Genomic DNA, 19,462 nt, shown 5'->3' on the forward strand with positions numbered 1-19,462 from the left:
CCCTCAGCACAGGTGCTTGTGCCTGCCATCATGGGACCTGCAGGTGTACCCCCAATGAGCACCACCTCCCCCCAGGGGCTAAGCAGGGAGCTCAGACCACTATGCATTCCACGAATCAGTTCATTGTCTAGGGCAACACAGAGCTTCTGCTAGTAAACAAGGATCAAGTATATACCCAGCCACACTGGCTGCACCAGCTCTTACCTATAAGCACCATCTACTGGCTTGTAGATCAAACTGCACAGTGCGATATAAAACTTGCCGAGGGCTCTGCCTGGTGGCTCTGGTCCCACAGGGGCCGTTGGCCCAGGCGGACGGACCCTGAGCTGAGGTAGCCCGCTGCTGGAGAGGCTGTTCGCCTGGGGCGGGCTCTTGTGGACCTTCCTCAAGCACCAGGCAGGGTCTGAAGCCCATTTGAAGGTCAGGAGGCCCGAGGTGGTGGCGGTGGTCAAGCTGCTGAACGAGAAGGAGCAGGAGCTGCGGGAGACCAAGAGCTTGCTGCACGATGAGGATGAAAATTTAAGGAAATGTGCAGAGAATGAAATAACTTTGTGTCAAAAAGAAATAACTCAGTTGAAGCATCAGAAGAAACAGATGAAAATGATCTGATCCTGCAAGTAACTGCAGGAGTTGGAAGACAGGAGGCAATGTTGTTTACTTCAGAGATATTTGATATGTGTCAGCAATAAGCTGCATTTAAAAGATGGCATTTTGAGACCCTGGAATATTTTCCAAGTGAAATAGGTGGACTTAGACATGTATCTGCCAGTATTGGGGGTTCAGAAGCCTATAGGCACATGAAATTTGTTTTTTTTAATTATTATTATACTTTAAGTTCTAGGGTACATGTGCACAAGGTGCAGGCTTATTACATATGCAGACATGTGCCATGTTGGTGTGCTGCACCCATTAACTCATCATTTACATTAGGTATATCTCCTAATGCTTTCCCTCCCCCCTTCTCCCACCCCACAACAGGCCCCAGTGTGTGATGTTCCCCTTCCTGTGTCCAGGTGTTCTCATTGTTCAATTCCCACCTGTAAGTGAGAACATGTGGTGTTTGGTTTTTTGTTCTTGCGATAGTTTGCTGAGAATGATGGTTTCCAGCTTCATCCATGTCCCTACAAAGGACATGAACTCATCCTTTTTTATGGCTGCATAGTATTCCATGGTGTATATGTGCCACATTTTCTTTATCCAGTCTATCATTGATGGACATTTGGGTTGGTTCCGAGTCTTTGCTATTGTAAAAAGTGTCGCAATAAACATATGTGAGGCACATGAAATTTGAAGGAGGTGTGCACAGAGTACAAAGAGTGCCAAAGACAGAAAAGCAAGGCTGCATCCATGCTAGCACCATGACTGTAAGCAGTATTGCCCCAACCTACTGAGATTAATCTGGTGACTAATCCAAAAGATTTGAGAATCAACACTAAGCGAGCCAGTGGAGCTGCGGGGGCAGCATGTAAATACCATGGACAGTGCTGTCCGGATAGTTCATCTTCCAACGGAAGAAGAAAAAGGATGAGAAGGAAAAGGAGTATTCCTTGAAAATAAGTAAAGAAGATTTTTCTATTAAAACTTTTTAATTCTTGTAACACTATTCAGGTGTTTCTGAATGCCAACAAGAGAGATCTCACCCGAAAAAATAAAGAGCTGGCTATGAAAAAGTTATGTGTAAAACTGTACAACATGTATCTAGAAGAAGAAATGAATAAAAGACACGATGCTAGAAAAATTCAGATTGGAAGTAAAGGAAGATCAGAGAAAATAAGAACATATAATTTTCCACAGAACCAGGTCACAGATCACAGAATAAGCAAGTCACTGCATGATCTTGAAACTGTTATGCAAGGAGATTATCTACTGGATGAACTTGTACAGTCATTGAAGAAATATGCTGATTATGAATCTTTAGTAGAAATTATTTCCCAAAAAGTTTAAGTTGATTTTTTATTCATACACTTTTGTAGCTTAGAAAAATTCTACTACAGCACATCCACATAGTGTAAAAATACCATTATTCTCTTAAAAAACATGAGTTAACACAGTTGGAAGAAATATGCGTATTCTGAAGTCATAGATAATTTACACAGATCTCTTTCAATGCATTAGTAAAAATCACACAATATACAGATGGTCCTCAATTTACATTGTGGTTAATTCCCAATAAACCCATCATAAGTCAAAAATACATATAACATTAGCAACACAGCAGTCTCCTACTTAATGACAGCTTGACTTAACAATTTTCCAACTTTACCGTGGTGTGAAAGAGGTATGATTCATAAGTCCTAAGGAGCTCCTCAGCTTGAAATGGGGCTACAGGCCGATAAACCCATCATAAAGTCAAAAAATCCTAAAACCATCATAAGCTGGTGACCATCTGTAATCATGATGTGGTGGTAAATCTTGGACGCTTCTTTACAGTAAGTAGACAAAGGAAAATCATCCTTTGTCCTGTTCTATGTAAATATTTAATGAATTATCAAAAATTCAGTTTAAATCTTCATTATGAAAAACTTTAAACATAAAGTGGTAGAAATATGACAGTAAATATTATATCCTAATACCCAGCCAGGAGACAGAAACCATACCATTAACTTGAACAGGGATAATTTTAATATAAAAAAACTTTTAACTGATAATGGTATTAGCTATTAAGAAGGATAAAAAAGAGCTACAATGTCCTAGGACTGAGTACCCAAGGAAAGAATATCCTTGGAAGGGGCTCCTCTTCCCCATGGTGAAGTCAGACCTAATGGAAAGAGTGTGACTACTCACTACTCAGTGATAGGGTAGTTCCCTGCCTTGCCCTGGGCCAGAGCTGCTGTGCAGCTAGTGGATCAGGTCTTGCAAGCAAACAACCTCACACCCTCAGGACTGGTAAGCCAGGAGCCTCCTGCTAGGGTGTGAGCAAAACTTGGACAGGAACTCTCAGTAGATGTTTGTGTTTGTCAAGGTTCTCCAGAGAAACTACCTTAAAGGGATTGGCTTCTGTGATTATTATTAAGTCTAACAAGTCCAAAACCTGGAGTGTGAGGCAAGAGGCTGGCAACCCAGGAAAGCTGATGGTGCGGGTCCAGTCCAAAGGTATCTGTTGGAGGATTCTCTTTTTCTTGGAAGAGGACAGTCTTTTTTCTCTTCAGCCCTTCAACTGACTGGATCAAGCCCACTAACATCGAGGAGGGCAGTCTGCGTTATTCAAAGTTCACTGATTTAAATGTCAATCTCATGTAAAAACACCCTCACAGAAACACCCAGAATAAAGTTTGACCTTATAACTGGAAAGTCAGAGCAAAAGTTAAATATCTAAAATTTTAAAAAAATATATGACCAAATAGTTGGGCACCCTGTGGCCCAGCCACATTGACACCTAAAATTAACTGTCACAGCATCCTCTTAGAAGCAAGAGGAGAAGCAAGAGAAGCCCCTTTATTCTGCAGTGTCCCTCTACCACCACCTACTGACAAAGAACGTGGTGCTGTCTGGCAAAAGGGAAATGTTCAGTTTGCCATGACTTGAATGTGTCCCCTCAAATTCAAGTGTTGCCAATACAATAGCATCAAGAGGTGGGGCCTTTAAGAGGTCACTGGGCCACAAGGGGTTCTCTCTCAGGACTGGGATTAAGGCCCTTATAAAAGAGCCTTCAGGGAGCATCCTGCTAGCTTGCTTTCTGTATGTGAGAACACAGCAAGAAAGCCCTAGTCGAACAAGTGCCAGATCATTGATCTTAGATTTCCCATCCTCCAGAACTGTGAGAAATATATTTCTGTTCTTTATAAATTAAAAAAAAAAAAAACTTGCTGAAAGAAGTGCAGAGGGCTATAGAAGGAAAGCCAAAAGACCCTACCCAGCATTCTCTACAGTTACACCCCCTAGGGAGGGGGGAAAAGGGAAAGAAAAAATAATACTATTATAGGGAAATAAAAAGAAAAACTCCTACCCACACTAAAATAATTACAAATATTAGAAGTGCCAAGGTCTCCAGATGAGAAGGAACCAGCACAAAAAATCTGAATGTAGTGACACCACCAAATGATCACACTGGATCTACAGCAATGGTCTGTAATCAAAATGGAAACTCGGAAATGACAGATAAAGAATTCAGAGTATGGATTGCAAGGAAGCTCAATGAGCTCCAGGACAAGGTTGAAAATCAACACAAAGAAACTTCTAAAGGATTCTCTTCCAAGATGGCCGAATAGGAACAGCACCGGTCTGCAGTTCCCAGTGTGATTGATGCAGAAGACGGGTGATTTCTGCATTTCCAACTGAGGTACCTGGTTCATCTCAATAGGACTGGTTGGACAGTGGGTGCAGCCCACAGAGGGCAAGCTGAAGCAGGGTGGGTCATTGCCTCATCCAGGAAGTGCAAGGGGTCACGGGATTTCCCTTTCCTAGCCAAGGGAAGCCGTGACAGACTGTACCTGGAAAATCAGGACACTCTCTCCCAAATACTGTGCTTTTCCAATGGTCTTAGCAAACAGCACACCAGGAGATTATATCCCGCATGTGGCTCAGCAGGTCCCACACCCACGGAGCCTTGCTCACTGCTAGCGCAGCAATCTGAGGTCAACCTGCGAGGCAGCAACCTGGCAGGAGAGGGAGGTGTCCGCCATTGCTGAGGCTTGAGTAGGTAAACAAAGCAGCTGGGGAAGCTCAAAGTGGGCAGAGCCCACCACAGTTCAGCAAGGTCTGTTGCCTCTGTAGATTCCACCTCTGGGGGCAGGGCATAGCTGAACAAAAGGCAGCAGAAACTTCTGCAGACTTAAACATCCCTGTCTGACAGCTCTTAACAGAGCAGTGGTTCTCCCGGCATGGTGCATGAGCTCTGAGAATGGAAAGACTGCCTCCTCGAGTGGGTCCCTGACCCCCATGTAGCCTAACTGGGAGACACTTCCCAGTAGGGGCCAACTAACACCTCATACAGGCGGATGCCCCTCTGGGATGAAACTTCCAGAGGAAGGATCAGGCAGCAATATTTGCTGTTCTGCAGCCTCTGCTGGTGATACCCAGGCAAATAGGGTCTGGAGTGGACCTCCAGCAAACTCCAACAGACCTGCAGCTGAGGGACCTGACTATTAGAAGGAAAACTAACAAACAGAAAAGAATAGCATCAACATCAACAAAAAGCACATCCACACCAAAACCCCATCTGTAGGCTGCCAACATCAAAAACCAAAGGTAGATAAAACCACAAAGATGGAGAGAAACCAGAGCAGAAAAGTTGAAAATTCTAAAAACCAGAGCGCCTCTTCTCCTCCAAAGGACGACAGCTGGTGAGGACCAGCAATGAAACAAAGCTGGATGGAGAATGACTTTGATGACCTGACAGAAGTAGACTTCACAAGGTCAGTAATAACAAACTTCTCTGAGCTAAAGGAGGATGTTCAAACCCATCACAAGGAAGCTAAAAACCTTGAAAAAAGATTAGATGAATGGCTAACTAGAATAAACAGTGTAGAGAACACCTTAAATGACCTGATGGAGCTGAAAACCATGGCATGAGAACTACGTGATGCATGCACAATCTTCAACAGCCGATTCAATCAAGAGGAAGAAAGTGTATCAGTGATTGAAGATCAAATTAATGAGATAAAGTGAGAAGAGAAGTTTAGAGAAAAAAAGTAAAAAGAAATGAACAAAGCCTCCAAGAAATATGGGACTATGTGAAAAGACCAAATCTACATTTGATTGGTGTACCTGAAAGTGATGGGGAGAATGGAACCAAGTTGGAAAACACTCTTCAGGATATTATCCAGGAGAACTTCCCCAATCTAGCAAGGCAGGCCAACACTGAAATTCGGGAAATACAGAGAACACCACAAAGATACTCCTCGAGAAGAGCAACCCCAAGACACATAATTGTCAGATTCACCAAGATTGAAATGAAGGAAAAAAATGTTAAGGGCAGCCAGAGAGAAAGGTCAGGTTACCCACAAAAGGAAGTCCAACAGACTAACAGCAGATCTCTCAGCAGAAACTCCACAAGCCAGATGAGAGTGGGGGCCAATATCCAACATTCCTAAAGAAAAGAATTTTCAACCCAGAATTTCATATCCAGCCAAACTAAGCTTCATAAGTGAAGAAGAAATAAAACCCTTTACAGACAAGCAAATGCTGAGAGATTTTGTCATCACCAGGCCTGCCCTAAAAGAGCACTAAACATGGAAAGGAACAACTGGTACCAGACACTGCAAAAACAGCCAAATTGTAAAGACCATTGATGCTAGGAAGAAACTGCATCAACTAACAAGCAAAATAACCAGCTAACATCATAATGACAGGATCAAATTCACACATAAAAATATTAACCTTAAATGTAAATGGGCTAAATGTTCCAATTAAAAGACACAGACTGGCAAATTGGATAAAGAGTCAAGACCCATCAGTGTGCTGTATTCAGGACACCCATCTCACATGCAGAGACAGGCTCAAATAGAGGGATGGAGGAAGATCTACCAAGCAAATGGAAAGCAAAAAAAAGCAGGGGTTGCAATCCTAGTCTCTGATAAAACAGACTTTAAACCAACAAAGATCAGAAGAGACAAAGAAGGCCATTACATAACAGTAAAGGGATCAATTCAACAAGAAGAGCTAACTATCCTAAATATATATGCACCCAATACAGGAGCACCCAGATTCATAAAGCAAGTCCTGAGTGACCTACAAAGAGACTTAGATTCCCACACAATAATAATGGGAGACTTTAACACCCCACTGTTAATATTAGACAGATCAACGAGACATAAGATTAACAAGGATATCCAGGACTTGAACTCAGCTCTGCACCAAGTGGACCTAATAGACATCTACAGAACTCTCCACCCCAAATCAACAGAATAGACATTCTTCTCAGCACCACATCGCACTTATTCCAAAATTGACCACATAGTTGGAAGTAAAGCACTCCTCAGCAAATGTAAAAGAACAGAAATCACAACAAACTGTCTTTCAGACCACAGTGCAATCAAATTAGAACTCAGGATTAAGAAACTCACTTAAAACCACACAACTACATGGAAACTGAACAACCTGCTCCTGAATGACTACTGGGTAAACAACAAAATGAAGGCAGAAATAAAGATGTTCTTTGAAACCAATGAGAAAAAAAACACAATGTACCAGAATCTCTGGGACACATTTAAAGCAGTGTGTACAGGGAAATTTATAGCACTAAATGCCCACAAGAGAAAGCAGGCAAGATCTAAAATTGACACCCTAACATCACAATTAAAAGAACTAGAGAAGCAAGGCCAAACAAATTCAAAAGCTAGCAGAAGGTAAGAAATAACTAAGATCAGAGCAGAACTAAAGGAGATAGAGACACAAAAAACCCTCAAAAAATCAATGAATCCAGGAACTTGTTTTTTGAAAAGGTCAACAAAACTGATAGACCGCTAGCAAGACTAATAAAGTAGAAAAGAGAGAAGAATCAAATAGACACAATAAAAAATGATAAAGGGGATATCACCAACAATCCCACAGGAATACAAACTACCATCAGAGAATACTATAAACACCTCTACTCAAATAAACTAGAAAATCTAGAAGAAATGGATAAATTCCTGGACACACACATGCTCCGGAAGAAATTGAATTTTTGAATAGATCAATAACAGGCTCTGAAATTGAGGCAATAATTAATAGCCTACCAACCAAAAAAAGTCCAGGACCAGATGGATTCACAGCCGAATTCTACCAGAGGTACAGAGAGGAGCTGGTACCATTCCTTCTGAAACTATTCCAATCAATAGAAAAACAGGGAATCCTAACTCATTTTATGAGGCCAGCATCGTTCTGATACCAAAGCCTGGCACAGATGCAACAAAAAAAGAGAATTTTAGACCAATATCCCTGATGAACATCGACGTGAAAATCCTCAATAAAATACTGGCAAACCAAATCCAGCAGCACATCAAAAAGCTATCCACCACGATCAACTCAGCTTCATCCTTGGGATGCAAGGCTGGTTCAACATATGCAAATCAATAAACGTAATCCATCACATAAACGGAACCATCGACAAACAACACATGATTATCTCAATAGATGCAGAAAAGGCCTTCGACAAAATTCAACAGCCCATCATGCTAAAAACTCTCAATAAATTAGGTATTGATGGGACGTTATCTCAAAATAATAAGAGCTATTTATGACAAACCCACAGCCAATATCATACTGAATGGGCAAAAACTGGAAGCATTCCTTTTGAAAACTGGCACAAGACAGGGATGCCCTCTCTCACCACTCCTATTCAACATAGTGTTGGAAGTTCTGGCCAGGGCAATCAGGCAAGAGAAAGAAATGAAGGGTATTCAATTAAGAAAAGAGGAAGTCAAATTGTCCCTGTTTGCAGATCACATGATTGTATATTTAGAAAACCCCATCATCTTAGCCCAAAATCTCCTTAAGCTGATAAGCAACTTCAGCAAAGTCTCAGGATATCAAATCAATGTGCAAAAATCACAAGCATTCTTATACACCAATAACAGACAAACAAAGAGCCAAATCATGAATGAACTCCCATTCACAATTGCTACAAAGAGAGTAAAATACCTAGGAATCCAACTTACAAGGGATGTGAAGGACCTCTTCAAGGAGAACTACAAACCACTGCTCAATGAAATAAAAGAGGACACAAACAAATGGAAGAACATTCCATGCTCATGGGTAGGAAGAATCAATAGCGTGAAAATGGCCATACTGCCCAAGGTAATTTATAGATTCAATGCCATCCCCATCAAGCTACCAATGACTTTCTTCACAGAATTGGAAAAAACTACTTTAAAGTTCATATGGAACCAAAAAAGAGCCTGCATTGCCAAGACAATCCTAAGCCAAAAGAACAAAGCTGGAAGCATCACGCTACCTGACTTCAAACTATACTACAAGGCTACAGTAACCAAAACAGCATGGTACTGTTACCAAAACAGAGATGTAGACCAATGGAACAGAAAAGAGCCCTCAGAAACAATACCACACATCTACAACCTTCTGATCTTTGACAAACCTGACAAAAACAAGAAATGGGGAAAGAATTCTCTATTTAATAAATGGTGCTGGGAAAACTGGCTAGTCATATGTGGAAAACTGGCTAGTCATATGTAAAAACTGAAACTGGATCCCTTCCTTCCACCTTATACAAACATTAATTCAAGATGGATTAAAGACTTAAATGTAAGACCTAAAACCATAAAAACTCTAGAAGAAAACCTAGGCAACACCATTCAGGACATAGGCATGGGCAAGAACTTCATGACTAAAACACCAAAAGCAATGGCAACAAAAGCCAAAATAGACAAATAGGATCTAATTAAACCAAAGAGCTTCTGCACAGCAAAAGAAGCTACCATCAGAGTGAACAGGCAACCTACAGAATGGGAGAAAGTTTTTGCAATCTACTCGTCTGACAAAGGGCTAATATCCAGAATCTACAAACAACTTAAACAAATTTACAAGAAAAAAACAAACAACCCCATCAAAAAGTGGGCAAAGGATATGAACAGAAACTTCTCAAAAGAAGACATTTATGCAGCCAACAGACAGACATGTGAAAAAATGCTCATCATCACTGGCCATAAGAGAAATGCAAATCAAAACCACAATGAGATACCATCTCACACCAGTTAGAATGGTGATCATTAAAAAGTCAGGAAACAATAGATGCTGGAGAGGATGTGGAGAAATAGGAACACTTTTACATTGTTGGTGGGACTGTAAACTAGTTCAACCATTGTGGAAGACAGTGTGGCGATTCCTCAAGGATCTAGACCCATTTGACCCATTGATCCCATTACTGGGTATATACCCAAAGGATTATAAATCATGCTATAAAGACACATGCACACATATGTTTATTGTGGCACTATTCACAATAGCAAAGACTTGGAGCCAACCCAAATGTTCATCAATGATAGACTGGATTAAGAAAATGTGGTACATATACAACATGGAATACTATGCAGCCATAAAAAAGGTTGAGTTCATGTCCTTTGCAAGGACATGGATGAAGCTGGAAACCATCATTCTCAGCAAACTATCACAAGGACAGAAAACCAAACACCGCATGTTCTCACTCATAGGTGGGAATTGAACAATGAGAACACTTGGACACAGGGTGGGGAACATCACACACTGGGGCCTCTCGTGGGGTGGGGAGCAGGGGGAGGGATAGCATTAGGAGAAGTACCTAATGTAAATGACGAGTTAACGGGTGCAGCACACCAACATGGCTTATGTATACCTATGTAACAAACCTGCACGTTGTGCACTTGTACCCTAGAACTTAAAGTATAGTTTTTAAAAAAAAGAAAAAAAATACTTCTAAAGCAATCTAGGAAATGAAGGAAGAGATAAACATCTTAAAAAGAAATCAGTCAGAGTTTCTAGATTTGAAAAACTCACTTAAGGCATTTCAAAATAAAACTGAAACCTTTATCAATAGACTGGACCAAGAAGAAGAAAAAGTCTGAGCTAGAGCTTGAAGACCAGTTTTTGAACTAATCCAGTCAGATAAAAGTAAAGAAAAAAGAGTTTTTATTTTTTTTTATTATACTTTAAGTTCTGGGGTTTGTTACATAGGTATACATGTTTGATGTCGGTTTGCTGAAGACCTGAAGGAAGTGGGTGGCAAGCCATGTGCACGTTCAAGGCAGGTCATTCCAGGCAGAAGGAACAACAGGTGAGAATGCCCTGAGATGGGACTGTGCCTGAGGGCTTAAGGGACAGCAAGTATGCCATGTGGCTGGAGGGAGCAGCTAAGGAAAAATTATGAAGCGATGGGGACAGAAGCAAGCAAGGGCAAATCCTGTGCACTATTAGGATTCTGCTTTTTACTTTGAACTAGAGGGGAAATTATTAGAGCATTTTGAGTAGAAAAAAATGCAGAAAAGTTCATTTGTATCTCTCCTTTTGAGAAATGTCTGTTTGGATCCCTTGCCCATTTTTAAATCAGATTATTTGTTTTCTTGCTATTGAGTTGTTTGAGTTCCTTATATGGTCATGCATCATATAAAGACATTTCTGACAATGACAGGCCACACGTATGACGGTGGTCCCATAAGATTATAATGGAGCTGAAAAATCCTATCGCCTGCTGACGTTGTAGCTGTCCTAATATCCTGGCAGAACTCATTCTTCACATGTATGTGGTGATGCTGCTGTCAACAAACCTACTTCACAGCCAGCCATATAAAAGTATAGCACACACAGTTATCTATAATACAGAATACTTGCTAATAATCATAAATGACTGCATTACTGGCTTATGTGTTTACTATAGATTGTTATTTTAGAATGTATTCATTTGTCATATTTTTTTAATTTAATATAAAACAGACTCAGGCATGTCCTTCAGGATGCATTCCAGAAGAAAGCCTTGTTATCCTAGGAGATGACACCTCCATGCATGTTATTGTCCCTGAAGACCTTCCAGTGGGACCAGGTGTGGAGGTGGAAGAAAGTGATATTGCTTATCCTAACCCTACGTAGGACTGGGCTAATGTGTGTGTGTTTGTGTCTTCATTTTTAACAAAAAGTTTACAAACTAAAAAATAAAGAAAAAGAAATTTTACATAGAAAAAAGCTTATAGAATAAGGATATAAGAAAATGTTATGTACAGCTTTAGAATGTTTGGGTTTTAAGCTAAATATTATAAAAGAGTCAAAAGGTTTGCAAAAAAATAAAAAGTTTATAAAGTAAAAAGTCACAGTAAGCTAAGTTCATTGTTGAAGAAAGAAAAATATTTTTTGTAAGTTTAGTGTAGCCTAAGTGTATAGTATTTATAAAGTCTACTGTAGTGTATAGCAATCCTAGGCCCTCTCATTCACTCACCGCTCACTCACTGACTCACTCAGAGCAACTTTCAGTTCATAGTAAGCTATTTCTGCAAGTTCCGTTCATGGTAAGGGCTTTATACAGGTGTACCATTTTTAATTTTTATACTTTATTTTTACTGTACCTTTACTACTTCAGATTTGTTTAGTTACACAAATTCTTATAATTATGTTACAGCTGTCTATAGTATTCAGTACATTAACATGCTGTACAGGTTTATAGCCTTTGAGCAATAGGCCATACCATATAGCTTAGGTGTGCAGTAGACTATATTGTCTACGTTTGTGTAAGTACACTTTATGGTGTTCCCACAACTGAAACCACCTAATGATGCATTTATTAGAATGTAGCTCCATCATTAAGCAACTGATTTATACACGACTATATATTTTGGATATTAGCTCCCTAGCAGATGTATGGATTGCAAATATTTTCTCCTAATCCATAGGTTGTCTCTTCACTCTGTTAATTTCTTCCTTTACTGCACAGAAGCTTTTTAACTTAATGGAATCCATTTGTCTAATTTTGCTATTGTTGCCCGTGCTTTCGGAGTTCTACCCAATAAATCATTGCCCAGACCAGTGTCATGGAGCTTTTCCCTATGTTTTCTTCTGGTAGCCTTGCCGTTTCAAGTCTTACGTTTAAGTCTTTTATCCGTTTTGAATTGATTTTTTTTTATGGTGTGAGTATAAAGGTCCAATTTTATTCTTCTGAATGTGGATATCCAGTTTTCCCAATACCATTTATTGAAGAGATTGTTCTTTCCCCATTACGCATTCTTGGCACTTTTGTTGAAAATCAATTGACCCTAAATACTTCGGTTTATTTCTGGGCTTTTTATCCTGTTCCATTGGCCAATTTGTCTGTTGTAATGCCAGTACCATGTTGTTTTGATTATAATATCTTTATAATATATTTTTAAAATCAGAAACTGTGATGCCTCCAGTTTTGTTATTTTAACTCAAAATTGTTTGGCTATTCACAGTCTTTTCTGGTTGTATATGAATTTGGGGGTTTTTTTCTATTTCTGTGAAAATGATATTAGAATTTTGATAAGAATTGCATTGAATCTGTAGATCACTTTGGGTAGTAGGGATATTTTAACAGCATCAGTTCTTCCAGTCCATGAACATGGGATTTTTCTAATTTATTTGTGTCTTCTTTAATTGTTGTCATCAATGCTCAATCATCAGGGAAATATTCTAATCATCAGGAAAATGCAAATTAAAATTACAATGAGCTATCCCCTCACACCTGTTAGAATGGCTATTAGCAGATAAATGAAAGATAAGTGTTGGTGAGGATGTGAAAAAAAGGAAAGTCTTGTAGGCTGTTGCTGGGAATGTAAATTAATACAGCCATGTTAGAAGACAGTATGGAGGTCCCTCAAAAAACTAAAAGCAACAGAACTACCATATGATTCAACAATCCCACTTCTAGTTATATATCCACAAGAAGTGAAATCAATAAGTTAGAGAAATATCTGCACTCCCATATTCATTGATGTATTATTTACAATAGATGAAACCAATCTAAGTGTTCATAAACAGATGAGTGAATAAAGAAAATGTAATATATATATATATATATATATACATGAAATAATATTCAGCCTTAAAAAAGAAGGATATGCTTTCATTTGTGACAACACAGATGAATGTGGAGGACATAATGCTAAGTGAAATAAGCCAGGCACAAAAGGAAAAATACTGCATAATCTCACTTATATGAAAAATTTTTAAGTTAAACTCATAGAAATAGAGAGTAGGACGGAGGTTACCAGATACTAGGGCGGGACTAAGATGGGGGTTATTGAAGAGATGTTGGTCAAAGAGTACAAAGTTTCAATTAAACAGAAGGAATAAGTTTTTGAGATCTATTGTACAACAGGGTGACCATAGTTAATCGCTGAGAGTAAATTGCAAATGCCCCATCACAAAAAATGATGAGAAAGTGAAGTGATAGATATATTAATGTGCTTGATGGAATCATCCCCTATTGTATACATATATCAAAATATCACATTTTGCCCCATAAAAATATACAATTATGATTTATCAACTTAAAGTAATATTCATTTTAGAAACAAAAAATCTGTTCAATAATCTAATGATATCTCACTTAGTCAACACACAATTGCAAGCCATCCAACCAGGGTCATTCTACAGGTCTCTAGGGTTTTCTCTCTGTACAACTCTTTCTTCTCTGTACTCTGTCCTGAAAACTCTAGCTGCCTTGGCTTCCCCAGACTCTCACCTTCATCCATTCAACTCGAGGAGGTTCTTAGGCTGTTCTTGGGTTCCTCCTTCCTGTGCCATGCTGGAAACTCTCTCAAGACAGTAATCTGGGGCAATCAGAGGGCTCACCTTGGTTTTCTTCCATTTCTCAAGGCTCACTGTCCTTTTTAACTGCTGTCCAATTACTTGAAAACCATTATTTCATATATTTTGTGGGTTTTTTAGTTGTTTCCAGCAGAAGGAAAAATCCAGTCTCTGCTACTCCATGTTGGCCAGAATCAAAAGTTTACTTTCATTTTTGAAAGTTATTTTGCTGAAAATTATTGTCAATTCTAGATTGATAGTTTTCCTTTATTTTGCTTTGCTTTTTATCATGGATTTGCATTATAATCATCAATAATTGTAACCTTTCTTTCTCTGAATGCATTGGGTCTTTCTGTGCCTGCTTTTAAAGTTATCCCTTTATCATTGGTTTTCAGGAATGTGATTATTGTACATCTTGGGATAGTGTTCTTGTGTGCTTATCCTGTTCAGAGTTCACCAAGCCATTTGGGTCTGTGGAGTTTGGTTTTTATTACATTTTCATTAAATTTTCAGCACGTATTTCTTTTAAGTATTGTTTTTGCTCACTTTAGTTATGGGGCTCCAATTACATGTGTTATATCGTATCACAGGTCCTTGAAGGTCTTTGCACTTTTTGTTTTTTGTGCTTCAGTTTAGCTTCTATTACTATATCTTAAATTTCATTTATCATTCCATCTGCATTACCTATTCTACTAACAAGCCTGTACAGTGTATTTTTATTTCACACATGATATTTTTTAGCTCTAGACATTCCATTTCGTTATTTTCAATTTATTCTTTTCTTTCCTCAATAGGCTTCTGTTTTCTTTTAAACACTTGAGCATATTTATAATAAGCTGTTTTAAAGTCCTTATCAGCTAACCCACCATCGTCATCCCATCTGTCATTTCTGTATTCTGTTTATTAACTAATTGATATGTTATAGATCACATTTACCTGCCTCTTCCCATGTGTAGTAATACTGGAATTGTGAATGTTGCATTATTGAATGTGTCTGGATTTTGTTGTATTCCTTTAAGAAGTGTTAAATTTTGCTTTAGCTGGCAACTAGTTATATGCAGATCCACTTGATTCTTTTGAGGCTTGTTTTTATACTCTGTTAAAATGGGGTTTATACAGCCTCCACTCTACATCTTATCCCTTCTACTAAGACATGATCCTTCTGGGACTTCTAATGAATGTCCTGAGTGTTCAATGAGTTCTGTCCATGGTAGCTGGTTGAAACCCAAATATCTGCCAGAACCAGTCAAGCTCTAGAAATTTTGCAGGCTACAGCTAGCTGATAGCTTTTAAATCTACTATTTTGAAGCCTTATGCTATACATGCACAAGTTAAGTATTTAGACCAAGGCTCAAGGTACCCTATGTAAGTTACTGGATAATACTCCCTCTTTCCTAGAACTCTGCCCTAAAAATGTTAGTTCCTTTGGCCTCCTCAACCTCCTATCTCTGTGTTGTTAACTCAGAGAGACCACTCCACCTTATACAGGTTTCTCTTTCTGAACTGTGGTTCAGAATGTGCTCCAGGCAGAAACCTGGGGCAATCTTAGGACTCCTGTTTGTTTGCCTGTGCTTCCTATTACACAATATCTGAAAACAGTTGTTTAGTATATTTTGGTGAGGTTTTTATTTATTTGCAGAAAGAGAGCAGATTCACTAAAAGCTATTTAATCAAGCTAAAAGTGAAAGCCTACTCAATATTTTAAGAAATATATCTGAAGGTTGATGTCTGCTCTAGAGATGGAGGTTAGGTAATTATTTGAAAAATAGACAGCAAATGAAATAGTAACTGTGAACAATATTGCCCAGGAAATGTATAACAGTTAGAATTGGGTTGAGAGAGAAGTAATGCAGATCCAACATAATGGTAATTTCAACAAGAAATTGATTTTCATTCATGCAGAAGTAAAAAGTAGGCAGTGTAGGGCTGACAGCGCAGCTGTGTTTCACAAAGTCCTCAGGAACTTAGTCTTCCTCCAACTCAATGCTCTGCCCTCCCATCTGTATTCCAGCAGACAAATGAATAAAGGGACTAGTAAGAGACAAGGAAGGCACACACTAACCGTCTTTAAGAATGGTTTCTGGATATTAACTCAGAAAACTGCTGCTTACATCCCCCTTGTCATATGGCCAACCTAGCTGTATAGGAAACTAGAAAACATACTATTTCTTCTGAATGACCATGTGCTCATTTAACAATGCTATCATACTGGTAGCAGTGGAAAATGGATATTGGAAGTCAATATTTTGTGTAGACACTCGTTTCTCTGCCACAAATGTATAAAGAGAATAGATGAGACCTAGAGAGGTCCACTGTTTAAGGATGAATAAGTATAAACATAGCCTATAAGGGATAATGGGTTGCCTACCCTGACTGTCTCTCACGGATTTCTTCCCACTCCCTCTTAAATCAATTCCAATCAAGTTTTCTTACTACAAGCCCATGAAAATTGCTTTTGTCAAAGTTATCAATGACCTCAATGTAGCAAAATTCAATAGTCAGTCCTCAGTTCTCCTCTCAATCTATTAGCACCATTTGATCTATTAGCACTGTTTATATCACACTTAATGAAGTTTTTGAAACCTTTTTCATATGGCTTCCAAGTGTCACATTCTCTCCTAGTTTTCTCCTTACTTTACATTCAGTCTTCCTCATCTTCTTTGATGTTCTCTCCTCTTCACTCAACCTCTAAACAGTAGGGTTCCCTAGGGATTCGTCTCTGGAACTTCTTACTCTCTCATAGTGATTTTTCACTGCTTCCTAAGTGGTCTTATCCAGCCTCATGACTTTAATACATCTATAGTGTCTGTGCTCAAATGATTGTCTTCAACTCAGGCATCTTCCCGAATTATATGCTACAACCTTAATATCTCTACTTGGATAAATAATGACACTTGTTACTTTCTAATATACTATATAATACATTTATTTATTTTCTCTTTTTTTCCACTGAAATATAAAATCAATGGGAAGTGGAACTCCAGGTGCATAGAATAATGACTGGAACATACTAGGCCTTCAGTAAATAATGTTTAGTGAATAAAAAGAAATAGGTGATAGGGAAAACAAGAGCACTACTTCTCTGCAGCCACAAAAGGAGGAAATTTGAAGAAGGAGTGAGTAGTTCATAGTGTATAATTCACCACAGAGAATGTTTAAAATCGTAGAAGGTGAAAGAGAGGCCGGGGCAATCATCCAAGACTGCCCAGACCCCCAGGTGAGCCCTCCTGCCGTTCTACATGCCATGACCTTAAGCACTGGAAAACACAGGTTTCAATCCATAGTTTGCAGAGGAACAGAAACCATCTCATTTAATTGATAAAAGAGTTGAGAAAAACTCATTTACCCTATTGTCTTTGTGCAAATATAATTTGGACAGAGCTGCCCATGCTGAGGATGAGCATGGTGCGGGGTAGGGGAGAAGGTGGGAAGTGACAGAGATTCCATACAAGCACACTACAGGAAAAGAAGAGAGTGGAGGAATCAATTCAGGTAGAAAACATAGCTCAAGAAAAAGAACAGTTTTATGCCATGGAAGAATCTAAGAGAAATACTTTAATAAGGTAAAAACCTCAAAGCTGCAAAGATACAACAACAGAAATATGTGAAAAGAGAGACTGTAAAGCTAAGGAAAAGAACTGAAGGTCACAACACAATATCTGAACTGATGAATTGGAAAGTAATTATAGTTGAGAGTTGAGTTATAGACATAGAGGAAAGAGCTGCCGTGATCTCAGAGAATGCAGACGAAAAAAAATCAAAGATGCAAGAATTAGACAAGATAATGTATGGAGAATCCTAAAGGACAATTGGTATCTGTGAGGTAGGGAACCTAACAAATAGAATATAAAAGATATTTAATTATTATAAGAGGAAATTTTCCTGAAAGGAAAAAATGAATCTGTAGCTCCCAGGAAAAGTGACATAGAGTGACTGAGACACAGGTATTGCCTGGTTAAAGTGCTTAACTTCAAGGATGAAGAAAGAATTCTTCAGGCATACATTTAGATGTATATGCAAAGAGTTTGGGAAAATTTGACTAGCCTTGTTCTTCTTCAAAGCATCAATAAGTCAACGGGAGACCTTTGCATGGCTACAAAAGACTGAGGGCAAGAAGGTGTTACCTGCTACCTAAAAATATAATCTCTCTCCAAGGAATTCTTCAAGAACAAAGGCAAGAGGCAAAGTTTCTCAAATATGAAGGGACTTGGGGAGTGAAGCACTACTGAAAAAATTATTTGATCACAGCCATTCAAGGAATAAAACAAAATGACTGATACTTACCAATGAATAAATTTAAACAGACTGGGAACGGTGGCTCACACTTGTAATCCCAGCACTTTGGGAGGCCGAAGCAGGCAGATCACTTGAGGCCAGGAGTTCAAGACCATCCCGGCCAACATGGTGAAACCCTGTCTGTACAAAAAAAAAAAAATACAAAAATTAGCCGAGTGTGGTGGTACATGCCTGCAATCCCAGCTATTCAGGAAGATGAGGCACAAGAATCACTTGAACCTGGGAGGTGGAGGTTGCAGTGAGCCGAGATCGTGCCACTGCATTCCAGCCTGAGTGACAGAGCAAGACTCTGTCTCAAAAAAAAAAAAAAATTTGATAAAGAATTAACACTAAACAGCCATGAGGGATACGGTTACACTCCTTGGCAATTTACAAATAATAAAATAATTGGAGATAGGAGATGATAGAAGAGCAAGATGGGAGAAGAACTCATTTTCTTGCCTTTTTTAGCAGAAAAAAAGTAAACACTGTTTAAAAGTGAAGACATGATGTGAGCAATAGGGATTACTGGAATACACTAGAGTGAAGTGGTGATTAGTCACTTCATTATTGTCATGTGAAAATGTCAGCCAAGGTGATTCTGATGAGACGTCATATTTAAAATCTTGGTTGATAATTCTAGATGACAGGGAGCATCTAAAGGATTTTAGGCAGAGGAGTGACATACAAAGGTTGCATTTTTAAATTATTCCCCATGCCTGCTGTGATATGAGCCTCCAGGATTCAAGGAAAATTTGAAGAGAACAAGATGGTGGCAGGACAACCAGCTGGGAGCACGAGACCAGCTGTCCAGGTGAGAAGAGGAGGGCTATGGTGAGTCGGCTGGACTGTGTTGATTGGGGATTAAGGAGAGGAGTCAAGGTGGACTCCCAGGTTTCAGCTTAGGAGGCGAGGTGGCATTAGCAAATGACACAGAGAGCACAGAATGAGACAGATACATGACCAAGAAAATGTGACAAAATATTAATAATTGAGGAATATGCACATACACACACACACACAC

The 19,462-nt window shown here is 39.0% G+C and overlaps 1 protein-coding gene and 1 pseudogene across 3 annotated transcripts in view; one reads left to right on the plus strand and one right to left on the minus strand.

Moving 5' to 3' along the window:
• GSDMC (gasdermin C) overlaps positions 1 to 19,462 on the minus strand; it is an 81,190-nt gene that overhangs the window by 23,067 nt on the left and 38,661 nt on the right. Inside the window, exon 15 of one of the 3 annotated variants that reach the window (XM_011517161.3) lies at positions 18,551 to 18,579. The exons of the other annotated variants lie outside the window; for them this stretch is intronic. The gene's annotated coding sequence lies outside the window, so the exon portion shown is untranslated. Of the gene's footprint in view, positions 1 to 18,550; positions 18,580 to 19,462 lie in introns of those variants that run through there. 3 annotated transcript variants of the gene reach the window in all.
• Positions 266 to 585, plus strand: MTRF1LP2 (mitochondrial translational release factor 1 like pseudogene 2; annotated as a pseudogene).

The sequence above is a fragment of the Homo sapiens genome, chromosome 8 (assembly GCF_000001405.40).
Source record: "Homo sapiens chromosome 8, GRCh38.p14 Primary Assembly".
Lineage (NCBI taxonomy): Eukaryota > Metazoa > Chordata > Mammalia > Primates > Hominidae > Homo > Homo sapiens.